General features: G+C 34.3%; 1 protein-coding gene across 5 annotated transcripts in view; it reads right to left on the bottom strand.

Annotated features, from left to right (window-relative positions):
* Positions 1 to 24,927, bottom strand: part of PLA2G4A (phospholipase A2 group IVA) — a 160,033-nt gene that overhangs the window by 109,475 nt on the left and 25,631 nt on the right. For 4 of the 5 annotated variants that reach the window (XM_011509642.3, NM_024420.3, NM_001311193.2 and 1 more), the window contains exon 3: positions 8,991 to 9,072. In XM_011509642.3, the coding sequence (XP_011507944.1) occupies positions 8,991 to 9,072 (82 nt within the window). Of the gene's footprint in view, positions 1 to 8,762; positions 8,911 to 8,990; positions 9,073 to 24,927 lie in introns of those variants that run through there. The other variant, XM_005245267.5, reaches the window with a different exon arrangement.

The following is a 24,927-nucleotide window of genomic DNA, read 5'->3' as shown; positions in this document are numbered from 1 at the left end:
TTGTTTAAACCACTAAACAATGCTTCCTCTTTGTTATAAATTACACACTCCATAAAGTTACCCACAGTAGATATTATCATTATTTTTCTTGTAATTTTCAAGGTACTAAATAAGTACTAACTACATAGCACATACTCAGCAATTACTGATGTGGACATTAGTCAGGCCTTGCTGGAATACGCACTGGGTTATATTTCTTTAATATTTCATTTCGAAGTTAAAATCTCAACGTTGTCATTTTGTTTTGCATCTGGAGATTTGCATTATTCTTATACATCAACTAAAAATATTTTTGTCTGGAATTTTATCTAAATTATTTCATTAAAATATATTGATATATTAAGTGAGGAGTGAGAATGAAAAAGTGCATCCAAGGAGCCAGTAAAATTTACAGAGACCCTCAGACCACAGCTCAGCTAAGTTTAATCCATCATTTCAGTCTCTACATTACCTAATTTTTATTTTTAAGAAAGATTTTATAATATTAAGATATACTAAAATAACATATAGTAAGCATTTTCACATAAATGTTTAAATTTTTAGAGCAGCAGAGGTATTCTCTTAGACATAAACACTTTAAGAACATACTTGTCCTTGGTAATTTAAGAAACATTTAGTCTCTGTTTAAATTTAATTCCATTAGATTTTAATCACATACTTTCTCTACAGAAGTGGCATATGGTTTTTGATCAATTGACATTATTGAAATATCATAGAATATTATTCACTGTGTTCATCCGACCTAAAACACATGAATACACACATACACAAACAAAAAAATCTAATAAAGTACAGAGATGGAAAGGATTAACTGTATTCATAAAACCACTTAACAACTTCGTAAACTACCTGACATTCTAAGCAGATGAGGAAGGAACAACAGTGCCTTACTAACACATTATATTTCTCCACTACACAGAAAAGACAAGATAAGAGATGTGAGAGAGACATGCGTTATGAAACACTTTACTCATCTTGAAATTATCTTCCATGAAAAGACCATTGGGAAACAATTTCATTATACTTAGAATTTTTAAAATCTTGGGTGGATACTCTAAAACATTCCAAAACCATTAATAAACTAAAACTCATGTTCAGTCATAACCTGAAGACTGATTTAAGGAAATATTTATATCAGAAAAGATATATTTATATATATATATAAAATATATCAGAAAAGATATATTTATATAGATATATATAAAAATATCAGAAAAGATATATTTATATAGATATATATAAAATATATCAGAAAAGACATATTTATATAGATATATATAAAATATATCAGAAAAGACATATTTATATAGATATATATAAAATATATCAGAAAAGATATATTTATATAGATATATATAAAATATATCAGAAAAGATATATTTATATAGATATATATAAAATATATCAGAAAAGATATATTTTAGTATATACTTTAGCCAAAGTATAGACCAACAGCAATGTCATTTATAAAAAATAAGATTTGAAACTCCATAATTAATGTAAAAAAGATTAATTAAATTCACTCAAAGGTGTTGTAAAATTTCCTGTGCATGCAACCTCAGAAAAATTCTAGTTAGTAGTGGATAGAAATAAGAGTCATTTATAATCTTTAAAAAGTGAAGTATAAAATTGTTTTCTAAAATTCTGTCTCACTGAAGCAAAAAAGGAAGCAATATCAAAAAAAAGTAATAATCACACACTTTCATATATTTTACTCATTCATCCAATATTCCCTGAGATCTTACTGCTATGCCAGAATCAGAATTAAGCTTCTTTTTTTTTTTTTTTTTTTTTTTTTTTTGTGAGTAAGCCTCAGGCCTTAGTCTTAAAAGTGCATGATTATACTCCCATGTGACAAGTGTTACAAAGAAATCTAGACAGCTGCTGAGGGAGCACAGGGAGTGAAATATACCCAAGTGTTTTCGGAAAAGTGTTTAACAATGGAGATACCATTCTCCATTTTGTTCTCTCAAGCTGAGAAAGAAGGGTCCAATAATTTGCTCAACACAGAAATTCATAATGGACATTTCTTGTCTCTAAGGTGAAAAATTGAAAATTAGTCAAATGCACAGACTACCCAAAAGAATATTCTTGGTTCATACAAAGATGACGTTGAAGAAATAGATGTCTTTTCATAATTGTGTTCGAAACAATTGTGATAATAATGGGTCACATTTATTGAGCACTTACTGTGTGTTAGGCATATAAGTACTTTGCATACGTCAACTCGTTCTATATCTCAATATCTCCCAAGATAGTGGAAGGCAGAGACAGGAGAAGTAATCTGCCCAAGGACACAGGACACGCGAGTAGTCTGCCCTCTCCATCTTTCCTGGAGCTTCTGATCACTGTGAAACTCAAGAATAGCTACCAAACAGATCATTTATTTTCATATTGATTCCTACATGCTCTTATTGCTAAAGAAGACTCTTAAAAGATTAAATAGATAATGTTTCCCTAAATATCCAACACCCTGCTTCTCACCCCAATATTTACAAATAGGAAGATTGAGTTCTAAGCTCCTTTTTCCAAGGGAATGATTAACACTTTGTATTGAGAGGTGGGACCTCTGAAGAGGATTAAGCAGGTCGCCCTACAGGTGAGAGGACTGAGGCTGCAACATTGGAGAGATAAAGCTGAAGGAAAGAGGGTTACCCTTCGGGAAAATGTTATGCATTTGGGTTTTCTTTAGTTTCTACAAGTTTTAGAAGCCCATGCTTCTTGTGCATTGTACACTGCATGGTGACTACAGGATGGCCATGGAGTCTGAACTCTAAACACCATCACCCGGAGAACAGCAGTAAAATCTCCCTGGTGTGCTGCGTGATCGCTGGGGAAGACTGCTCTGAAAGGCATTTTAGTGCCTGCCAAAAAGTGGATGGCCAGAATCCACGAAGACAACATTTAACAGACGGGTTGATGCCAGTGATGGCAAACAGCAAAGATTATGCAAGCCCTACTCCTAATTTATAGGCAATTATAAATGCCTAGAATTCCTGTAGGACCTTGGAGTGAGGGAGATCACTGAATTCCCCCACCTTCTCTAGGGAATAGGGCTCACAATCAAAATTAATGTGATTTGGAAAAATCATATAAGGGGAGATTTCATGGCCCTAAGCAAGAATATAGAGACTATCCACACCCTTACACGGTGATGTGTTCACTTTTAGAAATTTTTCCACAGGACTTCAAAGACATAAAAAGCAACACAGCGTGATTTAAAAAGAACTGAACATTTGCACATATTTAGAATATCTACTTTATGCATGAGCATACTGTCAAAATAAACCGTTAAAAAAACTTTCATAGTTATTTCGCGAATCTTATAAATGTTCAACATGCATCCCTCACATTACAAGGCCCACATCAGAACTGTTGCTGACTCATCCTAGACAACACATCTCCACTAAAGGAGAGGTGAAGGCACAGTGGGTTCCTTCTTTCCTCAAGGCCATAAGGCAGAACAAACTCAAGTTTTCACAAGTCCCCACAAGAAAGCACGTGGTCTAAAACATTCAAAAAAACTTTTTCATTCCGTTTGGAATCACCCTGGTTTTGTGCTTACATTCTCTGACAATGTGTGAAAGGTGAAAGTTTAATCTTCCCTTTGGGAGAACAGCCATATTTTCACTAGCAGCAAGGATTTACCTAAACTTCATACAGTGGAAACATATTACACCATGAGGATGCCACATCGGAACCAAAGCTCTTTGCAGGAGAGAATAAAACAGTATTTTACCATGCTGCAGTGGTTAAAAGCAGGGTACCTAGAGTGACGCTGCCTGGGTTCTTAGATGGATCACAAATATCACACAATCAAATATCACACAGTCAAATATCACACAATCACCAATTAAGCTGAAAGAGAATTATATATTAAACTATTTGTGGAAGGTATCTTTATATGTATGAGGGAAAGAATATATTTGTAAATGTGTGTGTGTGTGTATAGTACATTTCATGCATTAATCATTTAACATGAAGTGAGCACTGTGACTTTTGAAACAATAAAAAATATGTTCTTGTTTTCTCATGGCTTGTAATCTGGTATTTTCATGATTTTAGTATAAAATAATTTCAGAATTTAACATTATAATTGTGGTATTAAGGTATTTGTGTTTATTTCTATCATTCTCATTGATAATATAATGAGTCATGTAATTAAGCATCCTTTTATAAGAATTTCAAAAATAAACAGTATTAATGTATTCATGATTATTTCATTTTACAAAAGTAAAATCAGCAAAAAACAAAAGTCTTAGAATCTTTGTTCCATCATGGATTTTTAAAGTCTTTGCTCTGCTCACAAGTCCTATAGATCTCAGGGTAAGCAAACATAAACTAGAAGAAATTGCCTAGACCTTGTCTTTCAAAATGTGGTTCATGGGTCAGCAATGTCTACATCAGCTGTATGTTAGAAATTCGGAATCTACTCCCCAAACCTACAGAATCAAAATCTGCATTTTGAATAAAAACCCCCAGTGACTCATATGGACATTATAATTTAAGAAGCACTGTTTGTGGAAGATTAGGTCCAGCCTTAGAACTGCAAATGGCACAACCCTTTAAAATTAGAAACTTGATCCAAATCTTGCCAGGAAGTTATCAGAAACAGAATATCATTTACCTACAGGCACAGACTTTTTGAATATTAAGAGCTTGAGGTTATTAAGAAAATCTTAAAGAAGTATGTTAAGATATTAATACGATCTTATAAAATTGGCTTGAATACAATGAGTTCAAAATTTTCCCAAGCATATGTATTTTTTATTAGAGTATAAATGTGAGCATTAAACACTGTTGTCATCTGAATACTTAAGTAAAGTTAGATCCACCTGCAATCCTACACCTGTTCTTGGAAGCTCTAATGTTTATGATGCTAATTCTGTAAAGAAAAAGAGTTTATGTGTCTAATAAAGGGGCCAGACAAGGAAAGAATCCTCAGTATATATATCCATAATTAGGATAGTTCTAAAACTCTAATATTCTGTGGTATTTAATCACTTAAAAAACACTATGGCATTTCTTATCTAATCTCATAGCAGGGAGTGAAACATGGCTCTAATAGTTCTGAATTTTAAGGCTAGCCTCCATTATCATTCAGGATCTGTGTTTTCCCCAACACTTCTAAAAGAAGCAGAAATTCAGTAAGGTAGCTATTGCATTTGTGTCAGCTATTTCATTTGGTTATAAAATGAAGTTTGTGGCCAGAGTTGTGTGTTCTGTTTCTTACAGGCACAAAGAAAATTCTATGACCAATTGAAATACTACACTCACTGCAGCCATTCTGCAAACATATCTTCTGTTAAAAGAGGAAAGGGACAATGTAGAGTATAGAGTTTAACACACATTAACCCAACATTTAGCACCCAACATGATGCTGACATGTAGCTTGTTACATATCACATCTACAACAACTTCCTGTAGGTTTAAAAGTAAAAGTTACATTAATATTGCCAAATTAGTGCAAGCTACTTATTTCAAAGATAAAAATAGAGCGATGATTTTGAGTCAGGTGTAAATGTGAACTTCAAACTGCCTCTTCCTATGAACTGTAAACATAAGAATGCAGAAGGAGTCATCACTAGAGCACTGGGTATAAATGCTGCATTTGAGTAACACTGAAATTAGCAACCATGTCTGGGAAGGAACTGGCAGCTGTCTTATTCTTGGCTTGTCAATGCCCTCAAGTGAAAACAAGGAATGAAAGAGATGCTATAAATTAAAATGTCATCTCTGACTCTTCAAAAGACAGTTTATTGGTTGTTGCTGATTTTATTCTGAGGTTTTAACAGTGCAGAAGCATATTTCTAAATGTAGGTAGTTAGGGTAGCATGATTTATCAAAGGACAAAATAAAAAATAGATATAACCTTAGCACTATCCTCTTTAAAAGGAGATATGAATATTTTACCAAGAATTAACTAGTTGATTTTTTATTTGTCTTGGTACCGTTGAGAAAGCACTCAGACACACAAGCAAGGCAGAAAACTCCAATAGTAATCTATCATTCTTCTTTACCAAGATGTAGAATTTTATGGAACTCTACCTTTATAAATAAGTGCAGACACTATCAACAACAGAAGAGGATGTAGAATTCTGCGATCCTGGTCTTCACAGATCTTAGGACTTTTAAAAATAGTTCTTATAGTTCTATTCTTGTCTATGTTTAAAGAACTGCTATATACAAACACCCCAAATTCAGCTATTTGGTAATTTGTATAGATCAAGCTCTCCAAGAAATATCATCAAAATTCCTCTCAGAAAAGTGATGGCTAATACCTGTGCCTTTTCTCACCAGAGTCTCCCACAACTTTTCAAAAATAAAGTGGTTGGCACTATATATCATCTATTCACTTTTCCTTAGTAACTTTATCACTATATTTATTTCTCTAACACTCCTTCATGTTCTTTTTGTCTCTTCCCGACTCTTGTGCACTCATTAAGGTGATATAAATGGTCGACAACAACTCCCTCCCCACACACACACAAAAGTAACAATTCAAAAAAAAATCCAATTACAAATGCTGAATAAAAATTCTAACAGAATGCCATAACACTGTCCTTTCTGCCACAGCAATTAATCTTCAGTGGCCATTCCTTCCATGGGTCCTTCACTTTAAAAAGGAAGCTTCTAAAATTAAGAGTCTAATCTGTGTTATGTACACTGTGGGGAACCAAAACCTAAATGTTCCCTGTCCCAGGAGATTAATTAATATCTCAGGTTCATTCTTCTAGTAATATTATCAATATCAATTCAAAGAGATTTAAAATGAAACTTTCAGCATTACTTTTTTCCCTATTCTAATTATAATAAATAACCATTGCCAAAGTGCCTGGGCCTACCATGAAGTTGCTAGAAAATCAGATCCACACCAGTTGAAAGAGACTCATGGAGTATAAAGTTTGAACTGCTGTTGGACTCATCTTAAGCACAATAACAGCCGTTGTCTCTACACAACAGAACGCTTCATTGATTAAAAAAAAGGGGTGGGGGGATTGCTGCTGCTTTATCTAACAGATAATAGCTGTATTTTTGAAAGTCAAATTAGCTCTGTCTTTTGCATGCCTGACAAGCTACTGACACAGAATTTAGTGGAATTAAGAATGGCTTTTCCAACACACAGCGTGGCCTCTTTGGTTGTAAAACGCACGCCTTTTCTTAAGAGTATGGTGGGTAATAGTGTCTAAATACAGCTTCTAATGAGGCTTCTCTTTCGCAGGGGCCTTTCTTTCAGTAAATTCTCATTTAAAATGGTGAAAATGAAAAGAACTGTAAAAAGCAAAATAAGAATAACTTCAGAAAAATATTAATAAAGGGATGATTAGATGGGTTAAACTGAAGTCTGAGATAAAATTTAAAATGTAAACATCTGATCGAAGCTAGTTTTGAAGAAATTGCCATTGCTCTCCTCACCTGTCATGAAAACCACTGCTCAGCCAAAACTCTTGCTGTTAGATTCTACCTAACAATCCTCTCCTTGCTTCAGACATTTACCAACTTCCTGGACTCTCCTCATTCACTGATGATATGAGCCTTAAGCTCACATTCTTTCTTTTCTTAGTATCTAACTCCTCCCTCTTTACTGGCATTTTCATTGCCATTTCAACAGGCTGAAGTCCCTCCTGTTCTTTGAAAAAAAAGAAAAACCTATTTTCCACATTCCTCTCCAATATATTTAACATACTACAGTCACAACATTTTGAAAAATGAAAATTCAGTTGTGTGACTTACTACTTAAATGCCATCAAATTCTTTCCATTGCATTAATGAAAAAATCTCAGTCCTAAGTCTTTGTCTTACCAGGGCTTATCATCCTAGTCTCATCTGCCCTTCCAGCCCCCACCTCCGTTATCTATTCTCTAGTAATATTGGGTCGGTTCTAGCTCCTCACAAGCATTCTGGTCTTTTTGCTTTGGAACACGCTGTTTTCTCTGCCTAGGACTTCTTGCTCTCATGACCAAGATACTTCTCCTTTAGGTACCAGTTTAAATGTCATTTGGGCTGGGAACCCTACCTGTTTCCTGGACGATACATTGCAATCTCTGTTCTCTTTCCCAAAACCTGTTTTGAGAGTTAAATTATCCATTCCCATATTAACAATCTAAGATGTTAAATCTAAGACATTATTAAATCTAAGATGTTATCAAATTCATCATCATAATACTTTGTTGTATCCATTGTTATTTGTATTCCCACTTGCACGAATTCCAATGATTTAAATAATAAGATTCTACAAGGAAAATTGCCTTTTTTAAAAACATGGAGAAAGATACTGTCAACAAGTTAATTCAGCATTATCCTCAGGCTGTGGATCGCATCATTTCAGGCTGTCCTATACCAGTTTCTATGGCTATTCCATACAAAATAAACACACTCAAAGGCATAAGAACTAGAGAAAAACTACATTTTAACAATTCTAAGTGCATAATACCTCACAGAGGCAGCTTGTTTAAAGTCTTTACTCAGTATTCTTTTAGAAGCAAAATTGAACAAAATTTCTTTGAATTCCCAAGATGTGTACGTCACAAGAAAATCATTTTGTCTGACTCCAAGTGATCTCGGCTAATTTAAGGCCCAGGTAAAATGCTGTTCTGACAGATAGCATCAGAGAACTGTTCGAAATGTTATCGTTCAAAGATCCAGACAAACATAACCACATTTGAAGAAGGCAGAACCTCTGATTTGTCAAGGAACTCAAGTAATTAAAGGCTGAACCATAATTATACGTTTAACAGCAAAGAAAATAAGGGCACTCTTACGCATGTCACCAAAGGCCCCCTTTGTCACTTTGGCTAATTTAAGGCCCAGGTAAAATGCTAATCTGACAGATAGCATCAGAGAACTGTTTGAAATGTTATCATTCAAAGATCTAGACAAACATAACCACATTTGAAGAAGGCAGAACCTCCGATTTGTCAAGGAACTCAAGCAATTAAAGGCTGAACCATAATTACATGTTTAACAGCAAAGAAAAAAAGGGCACTTACGCATGTCACCAAAGGCCCCCTTTGTCACTTTGGTGGCACGTAACACCACTACCGTAAACTTGTGGGAATACTGGTGCTCCACCTGGAAATAAAATGACAGTAAATTTAAAATAAGCTTCCAACATAGAACCTCATTTTTTCCTTGAGATTAATTTAAAATATTCTACTTAAAAACAAGTAGCATGCATACCAGAAACATTCTTTGATGTAAGGCTGCTTCTTTTTTGACTCTCTTCTCTCTCATCACAGAATCATTGAGTTTAGATTGTGCCTTAAAATGTCACTACAGCTTGACTATGAGCACTTCTTTGCAGTCCAGTTTACCAAGCACTTGGTAAAAAATGTAAATCAGGACTGCAGGTATTCTAGGAGCACAATCAGGCTTTGTACTTGTTGACTAGGAAGCCCTGGCTTATAAAGGTGAACTCAGAGCAAGACATTCTAGATTCGTTTGTTGTTGTTGCTGTTCACTGAAGCAGTCAATCAAAAGTCTTTTCTGCATGACATTTCCAGTACAGCTTTCAAAACCCTATGGAACCAAGGCAATAAGCAGCAAACAAATTGCACTAATTGTAATGCATTTGTTAGAAATCATATGCAAGAATATTAAAATTTGCTATTAGCCTAACACCTTGCATAAACATAATAAAACATTAACAGGTAGAGGACTTCATTAGACACTTCACCTAAATGGGAAACAGTTATCAAACAATTCTACTCACTAAAGCAGAATGAGGAAGCAGGAACTCACATAGTTCTTGGAGCAACTGAGAAGATTACAAGGTCTTTATCTAAAACTCAAACATTTCTTGTTTTAATCTTAGGAGAGTTCACTTCCCTTAATTTTAGTAGGCTTGCTTAACTGGTTGAAAAGTTCATAATTGATTAAAAAGAGGCTCAGATACTGACAATACTGAAAAGTGAGCAGTGACAGTCTAAATGCAAGGAGGCAAAAAAAATTGTCAAAAGTGTAGACAGATTGATAAGGACCAGCAGTAGTAGAATATATGGACAAAAATTAGACAGCACTCAATAGCTTCTGTAGAAATCACTCCATCAATAATGTAATTAATATTTCAATTTATAGTACAGCATCAAAGAGGTGAAGACATGAATAATGAGCATACCTTGTTTAAAAAGGCAGGGAAGCATAAAAATCTTTCAAAATAATGCTTATTCAACTTTATTTAAAAAAAGAAATACCTTCAACATCCAAGAGTTGAGTAGCCAAAGTTTTATTATACATAAATGATCAATCATAAGAATATTTGAAACTAAATGAAATTGACAGTACACCTTGTCAAAATTTGAATGATGCCTTGAAAGCAGTACTGAATGGGAAATTTATAGCACTGAATGCATATATTAAAAAAGAAGAAAGAACTAAAATCAATAATCTAAGTTACCACCTTAGGGTACTGGAAAAAAAAGAGCAAATTAAATCCAAGGTAAACAAAAACTAATAAAAATTAGAACAGAAATCAATAAAATTGGAAACAGGAAATAGAAAAAATCAATGCAACCAAACTTTGGTTCTTTGAAAAAATCAATAAGATCAATGAGCCATTAGCCATGCTAAGAAAAAAAAAAAAAAGGATGAGAGAGAGAGAACAAAACTACTAATATCAGAAATGATAAGGGACATTATTACAGATCGCGTGGACATTGAAAGGATAACAGAAGAAATACTACAAACAACTCTATGCTCACGAATTTGATAACCTAGATGAAATGGATCGATTTCTTAAAAGATAGAATCTACCAAAATTTACATAAGAAGAAATAGACAATCTAAATAGGTGCATATCTATTAAAGAAATTGAATCAACAATTAATAACCTTACAAAACAGAAAGCACCATGTTCACATGGTTTCACTGTTAAATTCTACCACATGTTTAAGAGGAAACTATATCAATTCTTGTATCGATTATCTACAATCTTTCCAGAAGATAAAAGCAGAGGGAATGCTTCTTAAATCTTTCTTGGAGGCCACCATTACCCTAATTCCAAAACCAGACAAAGTCATTACAAGAAAAGAAAACTACAAGCCAATATTTCTCATGAACATACTTGCCAAAGTTCTCATCAAAATATTAGCAAATCAAGTCCAACAACATAGAAAAAGAATTAGACACCGGGCGGGGCCCAATGGCTCACGCCTGTAATCCCAGCACTTTGGGAGGCGGAAGCGGGCGGATCACCTGAGGTCAGGAGTTTGAGACCAGCCTGGCTAACATGGTGAAACCCCATCTCTACTAAAAATACAAAAAAAATTAGCCGGGCATGGTGGTGTGTGCCTGTAATCCCAGCTACTTGGGAGGCTGAAGCAAGAGAATTGCTTGAACCCTGGCAGCAGTGGTTGCAGCAAGCAAGATAGCGCCATTGCACTCCAGCCTGGGACTCCAGCAGGACTCTGTCTCAAAAAAAAAAAAAAAAAAAAAAAGAATTATACACCGTGACCAAGCGGGGTTTATGTCAGATACACAAGGCTGGTTCAGCATTCAACAGTCTATTAATTTAATCCATATATCAACAAGCTAAACAAGAAAAATTACATGATCATATCAACAGATGAATAAAAAGCATTTGACAAAATTTAACATCCATCCATAATAATAAAAAATTTCAGTGAGCTAGAAATAGAAGGGAGCTTTATCAACTTGATAAAGGACATCTACAAAAAACCTATAATTAATGTCATATTTAATGATGACAAAATGGAAGCTTCCCCGAAAAGATCAGGAGCAAGGCAAGGAGTTTCCCTGTCATCACCCTTTTCAACATTGTACTGGAAGTCCTATTTGATGCAATAAGATAAGAAAAGGAAATAAAAGGCATATAGATTGAGAATGAAGAAATAAAACTTTGTTTACAGATAACATGAACGTCTATGTAGAAAACCCAATATAATCAATTAAAAAAAAACTCCTGGAACTAATTATGTGACTATAACAAGTTTGCAGGAGATAAGATTAATACACAAAAGTCAATTGCTTTTCTATATACAGAAATGAACACGTAGACTTTGAAATTAAAAACACAATACTACTTATATTAGCACTCCCCAAAATGAAATAGTTATAAATCTAACAATGTATGTAGAAGATCTATATGAGGAAGAATACAAAATTCATATGAAATAAATCAAGGAAGAACTAAATAAATGGAGAGATATTCCATATTCATGGATGGGAAGACTCAATAATGTAAAGATGTCATTTCTTTCCAATGTGATCTATAGATTCAACAAAGACCCAATAAAAATCACAAAATATTCTGTGAAAACAAGTAACTGATTCTAAAATTCATATGAAGAGGCAAAAGACCCAGAATAGTAAACACAAATTTGAAGGAGAAGAAAAAAATTAGAGGACTGACCCTATGCAACTTCAAGACTTACTATAAAGCTACAGTAATCAAGACAGTGTGATACTGGCAATAAAAAAAATACAAACAAAAAAATAAACAAACAAACCAGATCAATGGAACAGAAAACAGACGCACATAAATAAAGTCAACTGATCTTTGACAAAGGAGAAAAGACAATAAAATGAAGCAAAGATAGTCTTTTCAACAAATGTTGCTGGAACAACTGGACATCCACATGCAGAAAATGAATCTACACAGATGATAACTGGGCCTGAAATACAATGAGAAAATGCTCTTGAAAATCTAACTTAAAAATTAGCTTTCTCCACAAAAGGAACCATCTCAATAATAATTATTATACATAATGATGCTCCCCTCCCAAAATCATCTATGCTTTTTTGCATATCTAAGAACTTCTAATATTACATGGGTTTTCAAATACCTAGGAACCTTCCTTGTATCATAAAAACTATGAGCAATATTTTTTATCCATTATTTAATATTTGATTTTTGAAGTTGCTGCAAATATATTCATATTCTAAATGTTATTAATAACATGTACAAAAAGATTGTTTTTATTATAAGGACTCATTGAATGTGAACCATATGTCATACATTCTACTAGACACCAACTGTCATTTAATATTCCAAACAACCCTAAAGAATAGGTGTGATTATATTTATAAATGAGTAAAATGAGACTCTGAGAGGCTCAGTAATTTCCCAGTTACTCATAGATAGTAAATGGTGAACTTTTACTAGAATTCAGCCTTGCTGTTCTGTGTCTGTGCCCATCTCTTTATAAGAGCTTTAAGGATTAATAAGAGAGTAACTATAATAAAGTAAGCACATATTCTTGGAGAAAGATGTTCAGTTTCAATCGATGATTATCCAAATAGTCTTTTGAGAACCGCTTACCATGTTTCCTGGGGCCACTATCACATGCAATTTCAAACTAGTCCAGACTGCACTAGGTTTCAACTTGGATAGGAGATGTTTGGTTATATCTCACGGATAGTGCCAGAGGAAATTATATTACTGAATTCACAACCAATATTCTCCAAGGGAAACTAATGACTCAGGACAATGGTGGCTGGTAGTTGGCAGAGAGAGATGTCATATTTCAATTGAGATGTCAAATCTAAGCTCAATCCGACTTAGTCACAAAGATTAAGCTTTGCCTTCAGGTTTTGGATTACTTTGAGTGTCTTTCTGCATTTAAAATCATTTCTATAGTAAAAACCAAGACAATTTTTCATTTCAAAATTACAATTTTCTATTCAGTAGGAAAACAGCTACTGTATTAAATTCATTCTGGATAAGTATATTGATATATGTAACTATGATTGGCATTGAAAAAAAGAACCAATTTATACCAAATCAATTTGATGATCTTCCTAATCTGTTTAAAACTCTACTGTTATAAGACAAGAACCAAAGAAACAATCATAAAATAAAGTTGATGGAAAATAAAGTAGATTCTGAATGCAAATATTGTTTTTCTCTATTCAACCTAACTTTGCCTAATTTTTAAAACTAAAACTGTTAGTATGACAAAGACTATGATGTGTGATTACTGAACCCAGAGATTATGATCACCACAACTGGCAATAGGCACCTTCTCAGAAATTTTTTTTAATAGTTGCATTGATGTCATTAATAAATCCTGAGGTTTTTTTGGTAAGATACTTATTTTCAGTTTCGCTTTCAGGTGTGGAGTTTCATTCTAATATAACTGTGAAGCACAGTCATTTTGCTATTATTCACCTACACTTTTTAAAGAATGATCAGCATTATCTATTTTTAGTCTAACAATACTATCTAATCTTTTTTTAAAAATTCTCAGACATGGGTTGGCCATGTGCAGAAATTATCTCAATGCTCAAAACACCTAATTTGGAACATAATTTGTTAGCTCTAGAAGACATCACTAAAAGAAAATCAAAATCAGAAATATGACTTGAGATTCTTCTCCCCTTGAACAAGAAATTTATCACCTGCACAAGTATATACATTAAGTTTGGCAATATATTATATTTTATATATATATATATGTATATATTTTTATTTTATTTTATTTAGACAGAGTCTCATTCTATCACCCAGGCTAGAGTTCAGTGGATCAGATGATCTTCCGACCTCAGCCTCCCAAGTAGCTTGGATTACAAGCACACACCACCAAACCCAGCTAATTTTTGTTTTTTGTTTTTGTTTTTGTAGAGATGGGATTTTGCCTTGCTTGCCAGGCTAGTGTCAAACTCCTAGGCTCAAGCAATCTGCCCACCTCAGCCTCCCAAAGTGCTGGGATTACAGGCATGAGCCACCACACCTGGCCTATAGTTGTATATATTTTTAAAAATAAAAGCAAATATAGAGTGCATTCTTATTGCAGTAAGAAGATTTTAAGTCCTCTTTTAATCACGAGTATAGGGACTGGTATCCAGAATATATAAGGAACTCAACTCAATAACAAAATAATAATAATAATAATAATAATAATCTGATTTTTAAAACAAGTAAAAGACTTAAATAGACATTTCTCAAAAGAAGACACTCAAATGGCCAACAAGTATATGAAAAAATGCTCAACATCACTTATCCTCAGGGAAATGCAAATCAAAACCACGATGAGATATTACCTCATCCCAACTAGAATTGCCATTAAAAAAACCACAAAAATGACAAATGCTGGCATAGATGTAGAGAAAGAGAAACATTTATACACTGTTGGTGGAAAACTAAATTTGTATAGCCATTGTGTAAAACAGTATGGAGGTTTTTCAAAAAAATTAAAAATGGTACTACCATATGGTCCAGCAATCCTACTATTGGGCATATATCTAAAGGAAATGAAAGCAGAGTGTCAAGGATGAATCTGCACTCCCATGTTTATTGCAACATCATTCACAATAATCAAGATGTGGAATCAACCTAAGTGCCCATCAATGGATGAATGGATAAATAAAAGTGGTACATATACACAATGGAATACTATTCAACCATAAGAAAGAAGGAAATCCTGTCATTTGTTCCAACAGGGATGAACCTGGAGGACATTATGCTAAATAGTTACATATTTGCGGTCAGGAGTGGTGGCTCATGCCTTAATCCCAGCACTTTGGGAGGGAGGCCGAGGAAGGTGGATCACCTGAGGTCAGGAGTTCAAGACCAGCCCGGCCAATATGGTGAAACCCCATCTCTACTAAAAATATAAAAAATTAGCCAGGCGTGGTGGCAGGCACCTGTAATCCCAGCTTCTCAGGAGGCTGAGACAGGATAATGGCTTGAACCCGGGAGGCGGAGGTTACAGTGAGCTGAGATCATGCCACTGCCCTCCAGTCTGGGCAAAAGAGGGAGACTCTGTCCCCAAAAAAAAAAAAAAAATTATATATTTGCACAGAAAAACAAATAGCACAACATCTACCCATATGTGGAATCTAAAGAAGTTGATGCCATAGAAGTAGAGAGTAAGATAGTGGTTACCAGAGGCTAGGGAAGATAGGAGGAAGGAGAAAATGGGGGAGAGAATGGTAAACGGGTAAAAAGTTAGGTAGGAGAAATAAGTACTGGTGTTCTATAGCACAGCAGGATGACTATGGTTAATAGTAACATGCTGCATATTTCAAAATAGAAGAGAAGATTTTTAATGTGCTCACCACAAAGATGTGATAAATGTATGAGATGATGAATATGCTACAAATCTTGATTTAATTATTACACAATGTATAATACAATGGAACATCATACTGTACCCCATAAATATATATAATTACTATGTGTCAATTAAAAACAGAATTTTAAAAAGTGAAGTGTCAAACAAAAAAGGAAAAAGATTGCAGGGATTGCTCTAGCAGTGAAAACCAGTACAAGAAAATATTAATGTTAATAGCTTGGTTCTAAAGTTCTAATTTAACTGGGTGCCATGGTGTACACCTGTAGTTACAGCTACCTGAGAGGCTCAGACAGAAGGATCGCTTGAGCCCAGGAGTTCGAGGCCAGCCTAGGCAATATAGCAGACCCTGTCTTTAAAAAAGAAAATGGTAAAATATTTACTTAATGATATATTCATCATGAGTTTATAGTGACTATAATATCCTTAAAACATTGAAATGAAACAACTGCCCAAATATCTAGCACCTAAATTTTAAGTGTAATATAGATTCTAGTCCAATGGTAACTAAATATCTATAGCATCACACAAAAAAAGTGTGAACATCAGCCTTTTCCTACCTCAATACTTATGAGGAAATCTACATTCTTCTGGAGTAACAGTGACTGAGTGGACTGTGAAAAACAGGTGCACCTTCACCTTTCTAGAGGAGCTCATTAGAACACATGAAGTAGCATGTACATTTGAAAAGTTTTTCTCACACATCCTTGGCGCTTTGGGGAAGTCATATTTATTTGGTTTAGAATTACTGCCCTAGATGATATGTCATGTTCATGAAGATCTAAGATGTCTTTGCACAGATGGTTTTCAAATGTGAACCTTAAGGCTAATAGATCCAATACACTTGAAAATATGGATATGCTAACAAATACTATTTTAGATATTTTATCCCTATTTTGAGGAACTTCTTAAAAACCTCCCTGCTTTACTTGTTCTTTTCATTAAGCAACAAATAAAAGGTTCAGGCCAGGCGCGATGGCTCAGGCCTGTAATCCCAGCACTTTGGGAAACTGAGGAAGGTGGATTACTTAAGGTCAGGAGTTTCAGACCAGCCTGGCCAACATGGTGACCATCGCTATTAAAAATACAAAAAAGTAGCTGAGCGTGGTAGCCCACGCCTGTAATCCCAGCTACTTGGGAGACTGAGGCAAGAGAATCGCTTGAACCCGGGAGGCAGAGGCTGCAATGAGCCAAGATCTCACCACTGCACTCCAGCCTGGGTGACAGTGTGAGACCCTGTCTCAAAAAAAAAGTTCATAACTAAAAGAGACAGACATAAGTCAGAAAGGCATTTACAATAAAGTCTCTTATATTTTCTGTTTTTGTTTCTTCATATATAAAAAGGCAATCAGAAAACCAACTTCATATGATTTTTCTGAGAATTAAATGACAATATATAAAAATAACTGAAAATTGAAAAGTAAAGTTTTCAATATTTTTATTATTTCTACACTCATGTTAATAATAATATATTACATTGGTATATAATTATATATAAATTAAATATATTATTTTACTTAATATTATACACTAAATAAAATGATATCGTGGGTAAAATGAGGTTTTCTTACTCTGAGCACACAGCCTTCAATGGGGAGGAGTCCTTCCTTTATTTATCTCATGTTACTGAGCAGTGAAGATCCACATTCTAGATGTAGAAAATAACTGTCATATGGTGAAGAACCAACAGTCTGGCCAATAACACAGGATTTTCTCAAGGGTTCCCTGGCACAAATCCAGACTCCAACATTAGAATTTCACATAGGGCAGTGTTGAATGTCAAGTTTGGGGGATGACTTTAGCATCTGTGGAACTCCTATAAAATAGGATGATTATCCAACTTTTTGGGATTGTCTGGAGGCACTACTGACTGACTGTGAAAGAAGTAATGAGGGAATTCCACTCATGATAACAGCAGATTAAGTAATCTGGGTGACCATTGCCCACTAAAAGTAACTATAAACTGGACAATGTTTTTTAAAAATAAACATTTTCCTAAAAGTAGGAAAGAACTAACTAGATAGGAAAGCATTAACTACCAAGGCAGAGAGCAAAGGTGAAAAAGAGCACAAAAACCCAGAGAGGTGAGCTCAGTTTTGCCATAGGGGCATTTGCTGATCCGGAAGAGGAGAGAATGGAGAGACTGCACAGCCTTGAGAGATTCCTCGGCGTTCTAAGGATAAGGTCGCTGGTAAACCACACTCCTGTTTCAAAGTAAAATCTCCATAGACTGTGACATAGGACTAAGCATGAACATCCTTTCCATGTACTGGTAACCCATTTTAATGTAATACAAGCTGCCCAGAAAACCAATCTGGAACTGGGATTACATTTGTCCCAAACTGCTAGTGTCCCCAGGGGCCTGACGGAAGCAAATAAGTTATCTCTAAAGGATTACTTCTATTTTTCACCATAATGTTCAACACAAAATCAAAGATAACTGGGAATATAACGAGTCATGTCACCAAGACTACAAACTAGCATAATTAATCAACAGGCACAGAAATAAACCCATCCATTAATCAGCTATACTATACTTACGATGTTCAAGGAAAAGAAAGTCAAATTGAAATATGACTATATGGAACTGGGAGTATAAAAAATGGCTGAGAAGATTTTAAAAAGAACCAAAAAGAAATTTGAGAACGGAAACATAAACCCAGTGACTTTCTAGGAATTTCTGATCTATGTTGTGTGGTAAAGAAGCAGAAACATGGACATTACTTTGAATTAGTGCACTTTTGCCTCCTAAGGGAGGCTTGTGGCAGGGCATGGCTGATATCAAGGAAAAGTTAGAAGTTTACCATTAGCTGTGATGATTAATTTTACACATCAATTTCGGTAGGCCATGTGTTGTCCAGATTAAACATTGTTTTTAGGTGTGCCTGTGAGGGTATTTCTAAACGACATTACCATTTGAATCAGTGGTCTCAGTAAAGTAGATTGCCCTCCTGGATGCAGTTGGGCATCACCCAATTTGTTGAGAGCCCAAACAGAACAGAGGTGGAAGAAGGAAGAATTCACCCCCATTTATTCTCACCTCACTGAGCGAGACAGCTCCTTGCATTTTGTCCTGCCCTCAGATTGGGATTTACGTTATCAGCTCCCCTGGTTCTCAGGCCTTCAGACTAAGACCAAAATACACCCCAACTTTACAGCATTTCCAGCTTGAGATGGCAGATCGTAGGACTGCTCAGCCTCCATAATTGTGTGAGCCAATCATTAATCAATTATCAATTAATTAATGTCTCATAATAAATTAATAAATTAATATCTCCTGTTTGTCATAATAAATTAATTAATACCACATACTTAATAAATTAATATCTCCTATTGGTCCTGATCCTCTAGAGAACCCTAATACACTAGCTTTCTTCTTCCTCATTTTTCTAGATTTTTAGTGCTCAAAGAAATTCTATTTGCCAAAAAACTCATTATTAACTCATTTACAGTCCTGTGCTTTTGTAATAATAGTTCTACCACTTTCATATTTATGATTTTCTAGTAGCGACATCTCATCATCTAACTTTTCTAAAAATATCTTATTTCATTATTTCAAAGGAATAATTTTGTGCACATAACAATTTACTATTTATAAAAGCTCTGTGAAGCAGACACAGCAGGTCCTATTCATACCCTATTTTCCAGATGAGGCAGGTAAAAGTCAGAGTCTACGTGTCCATGATCATGTAACTGGTTAAGACTAGAACTCCTACCAGAACACTAGTTCTTTGATTACTTATTCAGTGGTGGTTTTCTTTCCTGTGTTACTGTAATAATCTGAATAATAGCTTTCTATATTTTTGGTAAAATTTCCAGTCATCCTACAATTATATTTTTGAAAGCCCTTGTATTTTACTATGCAATCATGCTGCCATATCCACATGGTTTACTGTCCCTAATGTGAAGACAACCTTAGTTTCTGTGGGATGTGGAGCAGTGCCCCTCCATTGTTAATAGGTGGCAGAAAGAGGTGTGAATTTTTTCACTTCAGGGATATGACTCACATTTTCAGAGTAAAAAGATGGAAAATGTTATAAATATTTTATACTTGACTTCTTCTTGTAAAATTCATGGCTCCTGGTCAAAAAAATAAAAAACTTCAATAAATTTTGAAGGCACAAAAATCCTTGAGGTTGGAAGGCACCTCGTAATGATTCTAAACATAAGGAAACTAAATTCTGTCATGTATTTGTCACTCTGTTTTCCTACCAGCTTCTTAAAATCCAAGCACCATTGGAAGCAAGAGAGCTTGCTGGCTGCAAATTGCTGCATCAGCCCACAGGATTCTCCAACATGTCCCTGCATCACAGGAATGGTGAAAATGAGCCCAGTCTCCTGGCCTTGAGGCAACCAAAGCTGTGTTAGCCTGTTTGGCACCAAGAGCTCATTACTATTAATAGTAAGCTGGCTTGATTCACTCAACTTTCCCTTTCACTAATATCATTCAGTGTTGAGTGTGCTTGCTCATTTATATATTTTGAAAAATATCTTTCTGTGAAAATCAGAGCAGGAAATTTTTTTTAAAACAATTTACACACACACACACACACACACGCACACACCCACAGTTGGTTTTTTTTCCATATACACATAGCGAGAATAAGAAGAATAAAGAAAACTGTAAAGCTCACAGATCTCTTCATTTAAAAGGGCTATAAATTAGAATGCTAGTTGCTGTCTAAGCCTGATGTTGGAGAAACTAACGAAAAACATGATACCAATATATGGTTTATTCATGTTTTGTAATATGGTATAATATAATATTACCACATAGGTAATTACTATAGCCTAAATATGTTGCTATAGTTAACAAAATTTTCAAGAAAAGGTCCCAGTGCTGAACCTTAGATGTCCAGATGAAGTTTGATTTTTAAATATACTCTGCCATTCAAAAGAAACTACCATCAGAGTGAACAGGCAACCTACAGAATGGGAGAAAATTTTGGCAGTCTACCCATCTGACAAAGGGCTAATATCCAGAATCTACAAAGAACTCAAACAAATTTACAAGAAAAAAACAACCCTATCAAAAAGTGGGCAAAGGATATGAACAGACACTTCTCAAAAGAAGACATCTATGCAGCCAACAGACACATGAAAAAATGCTCATCATCACTGGTCATCAGAGAAATACAAATCAAAACCACAATGAGAAACCATCTCACGCCAGTTAGAATGACAATCATAAAAAACTCAGGAAACAACAGATTCTGGAGAGGATGTGGAGAAATAGGAATGCTTTTACACTGTTGGTGGGACTGTAAACTAGTTCAACCATTGTGGAAGACAGTGTGGCGATTCCTCAGGGATCTAGAGCTAGAATTACCATTTGGCCCAGCAATCCCATTACTGAGTATAAACCCAAAGGATTATAAATCATGCTACTATAAAGACACATGCACATGTATGTTTATTGTGGCACTATTCACAATAGGAAAGACTTGGAACCAACTCAAATGTTCACCAATGAATGATAGACTGGATTAAGAAACTGTGGCACATATTCACCATGGAATACTATGCAGCCACAAAAAAGGATGAGTTCATGTCCTTTGCAGGGACATGGATGAAGCTGGAAACCATCATTGTCAGCAAACTAACACAGGAACAGAAAACCAAACACCAAGTGTTCTCACTCATAGGTGGGAACTGAACAATGAGATCACTTGGACACAGAGCGGGGAACATCACACACCAACGCCTGTCAGGGGTGTGGGGGGCTGGGGAAGGGATAGCATTAGCAGAAATACCTAATGTAAATGATGAGTTAATAGGTGCAGCAAACCACCATGGCAAATATATACCTATGTAGCCTACACGTTGTGCACATGTACCCTAGAACTTAAAGTTTAATTTTAAAAAATGTAAAAACTAAATATATATAATATATTTTATATTTATATTAATATTATAATTTATATTATATATTCATATTATATTCTATAGTTATATTATATTATATATTATATATAGTATATTATGTTATATATTGTATATATATTATACATGTTATATATTATATATTATATTATATATTTATATAGTATATATTATACATTATATAATATATATTATATATTATATTACATTTATATAATACATATGAATATAATATTATATTTATAATATATATAATATTATATTTATATTATATTACATATAATATAAATATAATATATACATATAATATAAGGCAGTCAGCCTTATTACTGACTGCCATGCAGCCCCCACATGTGTCTTGCCAGATGATCTGGTGAACTGGCCATTCAGTTTCTTCTTTTAACATGGCAGACATATTATATAATTATATTATATTATGTAATTATATAATTATATAATATATATTATAGAATATTATATAATTATATAATTATATTATATATTATATATGTATAATATATGTGGGGGCTGCATGGCAGACACATGTGGGGGCTGCATGGCAGTCAGTAATAAGGCCTGGTCAGATCAAGTAGAAGAGTTAAAGTCATTCAAAATAATCATATTTTTTGAAATGTTTTGTGTTCCAACCATACTGAACTTCTTTCATTTCCTTGAATCATGTACTATTATATCCCGCCTTCAGACTACTTCACATATGCTTATTTTTTCCAATTCAGAAAAGTCATTTTCTCTCTCTTTAACTGACAAATTTCTGCTAACCTTCAGGTCTATGCTGACATCTTACTTCCCCTAGAAATCCTTTCCAGAAGGATTCCTGTTATTAATTCTTCCTGTTATGTACTCCAGAGTGATCTTCATTGTCTCTTATCAGAGCCCTTACACTGTAGGCTTACATTATCTTATGGTTATTATAAATAATTTTTTCATATTTTTCTGCTAAACATAAACAATCAGGAGTTCAATACCAGCCTGGCCAACATGGCAAAACTCCGTCTCTATTAAAAATACAAGAAAATTAGCCAGGCATGGTAGTGGACGCCTATAATCCCAGCTACAGGGGAGGCTAAGTCACGCGAATTGCTTGAACCCGAGAGATGGTAGTTGCAGTGAGCTCTGATAGCACTACAGCATTCCAGCTTGGGCAACAGAGTGAGACTCCATCTCAAAAAAAAAAAAAAGCAACAACTAATTGGAAAATAAAGTTTGCAAATACTTTTACAATTACATTAAAACATCAAATATCAAAAAATACATATAAAATATGTATATATATATATACACACAAGATTTCTTAAAGAAAACTATAATACATTACTGAGATAGTTAAAGATAAAATTAAGTAACGTTTAGTTGTGGATGAGATTCATGGTTTGTTAATGGATTGGAAGACTCAATATTGTTATCATATTATCTCTCCTCTGTAGAATCATTACAGTCCCAACCAAAATCCCAGCAATTTTGTGTGCATGTGCGTGTACATGCATGCATGAGTGTGTGTGTGTGTGTTTGTGTGTGTAAATTGGCAAAATGAATCCAAAAATTATATGGAAATGCAAAGAACTATAACTAGACAGGATATTCTTGAAGAAGAAAAAATTGGAGGATTTACATTGCCATACATAAAGACATATTTTAAAGCTACAGAAATTAGGATAGATTAGTATTGGCGCAAACTACAGAAATTAGGATAGATTGGTATTGGGGCAAACACAGACTATCTGACTAATAAAACGGAAAAGAAATGAAGCCACACATATATGGTAGCCTGATTTATAGGAAATCACCATTGCCATTCAAAAAGAATATGATGGTTATCAGTAGATTAAATAAATAGCTTGTGACATTCAAATGATGAAAAACCACAAGGCAATGTAAAAGTGTGGAAGTGTGCTACTCACAACAACATGAATGAATCTCATAGACACAACGTTGAATGCAGAAATGTATATGAAGGTCAAAAATAAGCAGAACTTACCCATGATAATAGAGGTAAAATATTGGCTACCTTTGAGGCAAGTTATTGACTAGAAGGTATATGAGCAAGTCTTCCTGGGTACTTATAATCTGAGTGATGGTTTCGTGGGTGGAATACATATGTAAAAATCCATCAAGCTTAACAATTAAGATTTATGCACTTTATGTATATTATACCTCAATTTATTAAAAAAAGAGAGTCAGACAGAAAGAAGAGCTTGCATAAGAAAACTGAGAAGTAACCAACAGCAAGGAAACAGAAGAAACAAAACCAGAAAAATCTGAGAAGAGTTTCAAGAAAACAGTAATGAGCAGCAGAGTTGGGTAGAAGGAGTGGGGGGACTGAAGAGTTTATTGGATTTAACACCAAAGAAGCCAATTAATTAGACCTTTTTGTGAAGTGGAAGGGCTGAGTCCAGGTCAATGATTCAAGTTGTGAATGGACAGGAAGAAGACATTACAAATAATTATAATATATTAAACTTTTCATCCAAGGAGGGCAAGAAAGAGGATGATATCTAGAAATGGATGCAGAGTAAGAAAACAGCATTTTATTTCAAGTAAAAATGAGGCTATGGATTACTCCTTAAATATCCATAAAACCTTTATCTACTTCTTATAAACCTGAGTCTCAAATGTTGAATTCAGTAAGGAAATCTCCCTTCTGTTTATTGACCAGAAGAGAGCATGTATACTTCCACTGGAGTTCGGAAAATTATGTACTAAAATTTGAATTACTTAACTCTTCACTAAAATTAAGCACCCATAGAAGAATTTATTTAAACATATCTAACTAAGGGAAAGTTTATAGAATTAATTGCCCTGAAAATGCAAACCATAACATAGCCCTAAACTCAGAAATTCTTTTACTTTTATTCTTCTTTCCACCAACTCATGTGAAGGGTGTAAACTATGCAGGCTGATGATTGCTAAGTGATAACAACATTTTTTATTGTTCCATTATTATTATGGTGTTTGGGTATTTTTTTCCTTTCAAGTTCCTCTTTTCTGGAAACTT

This window comes from Homo sapiens, chromosome 1 (assembly GCF_000001405.40).
Source record: "Homo sapiens chromosome 1, GRCh38.p14 Primary Assembly".
NCBI lineage: Eukaryota > Metazoa > Chordata > Mammalia > Primates > Hominidae > Homo > Homo sapiens.
This window is presented reverse-complemented; position numbering and strand designations above follow the sequence as displayed.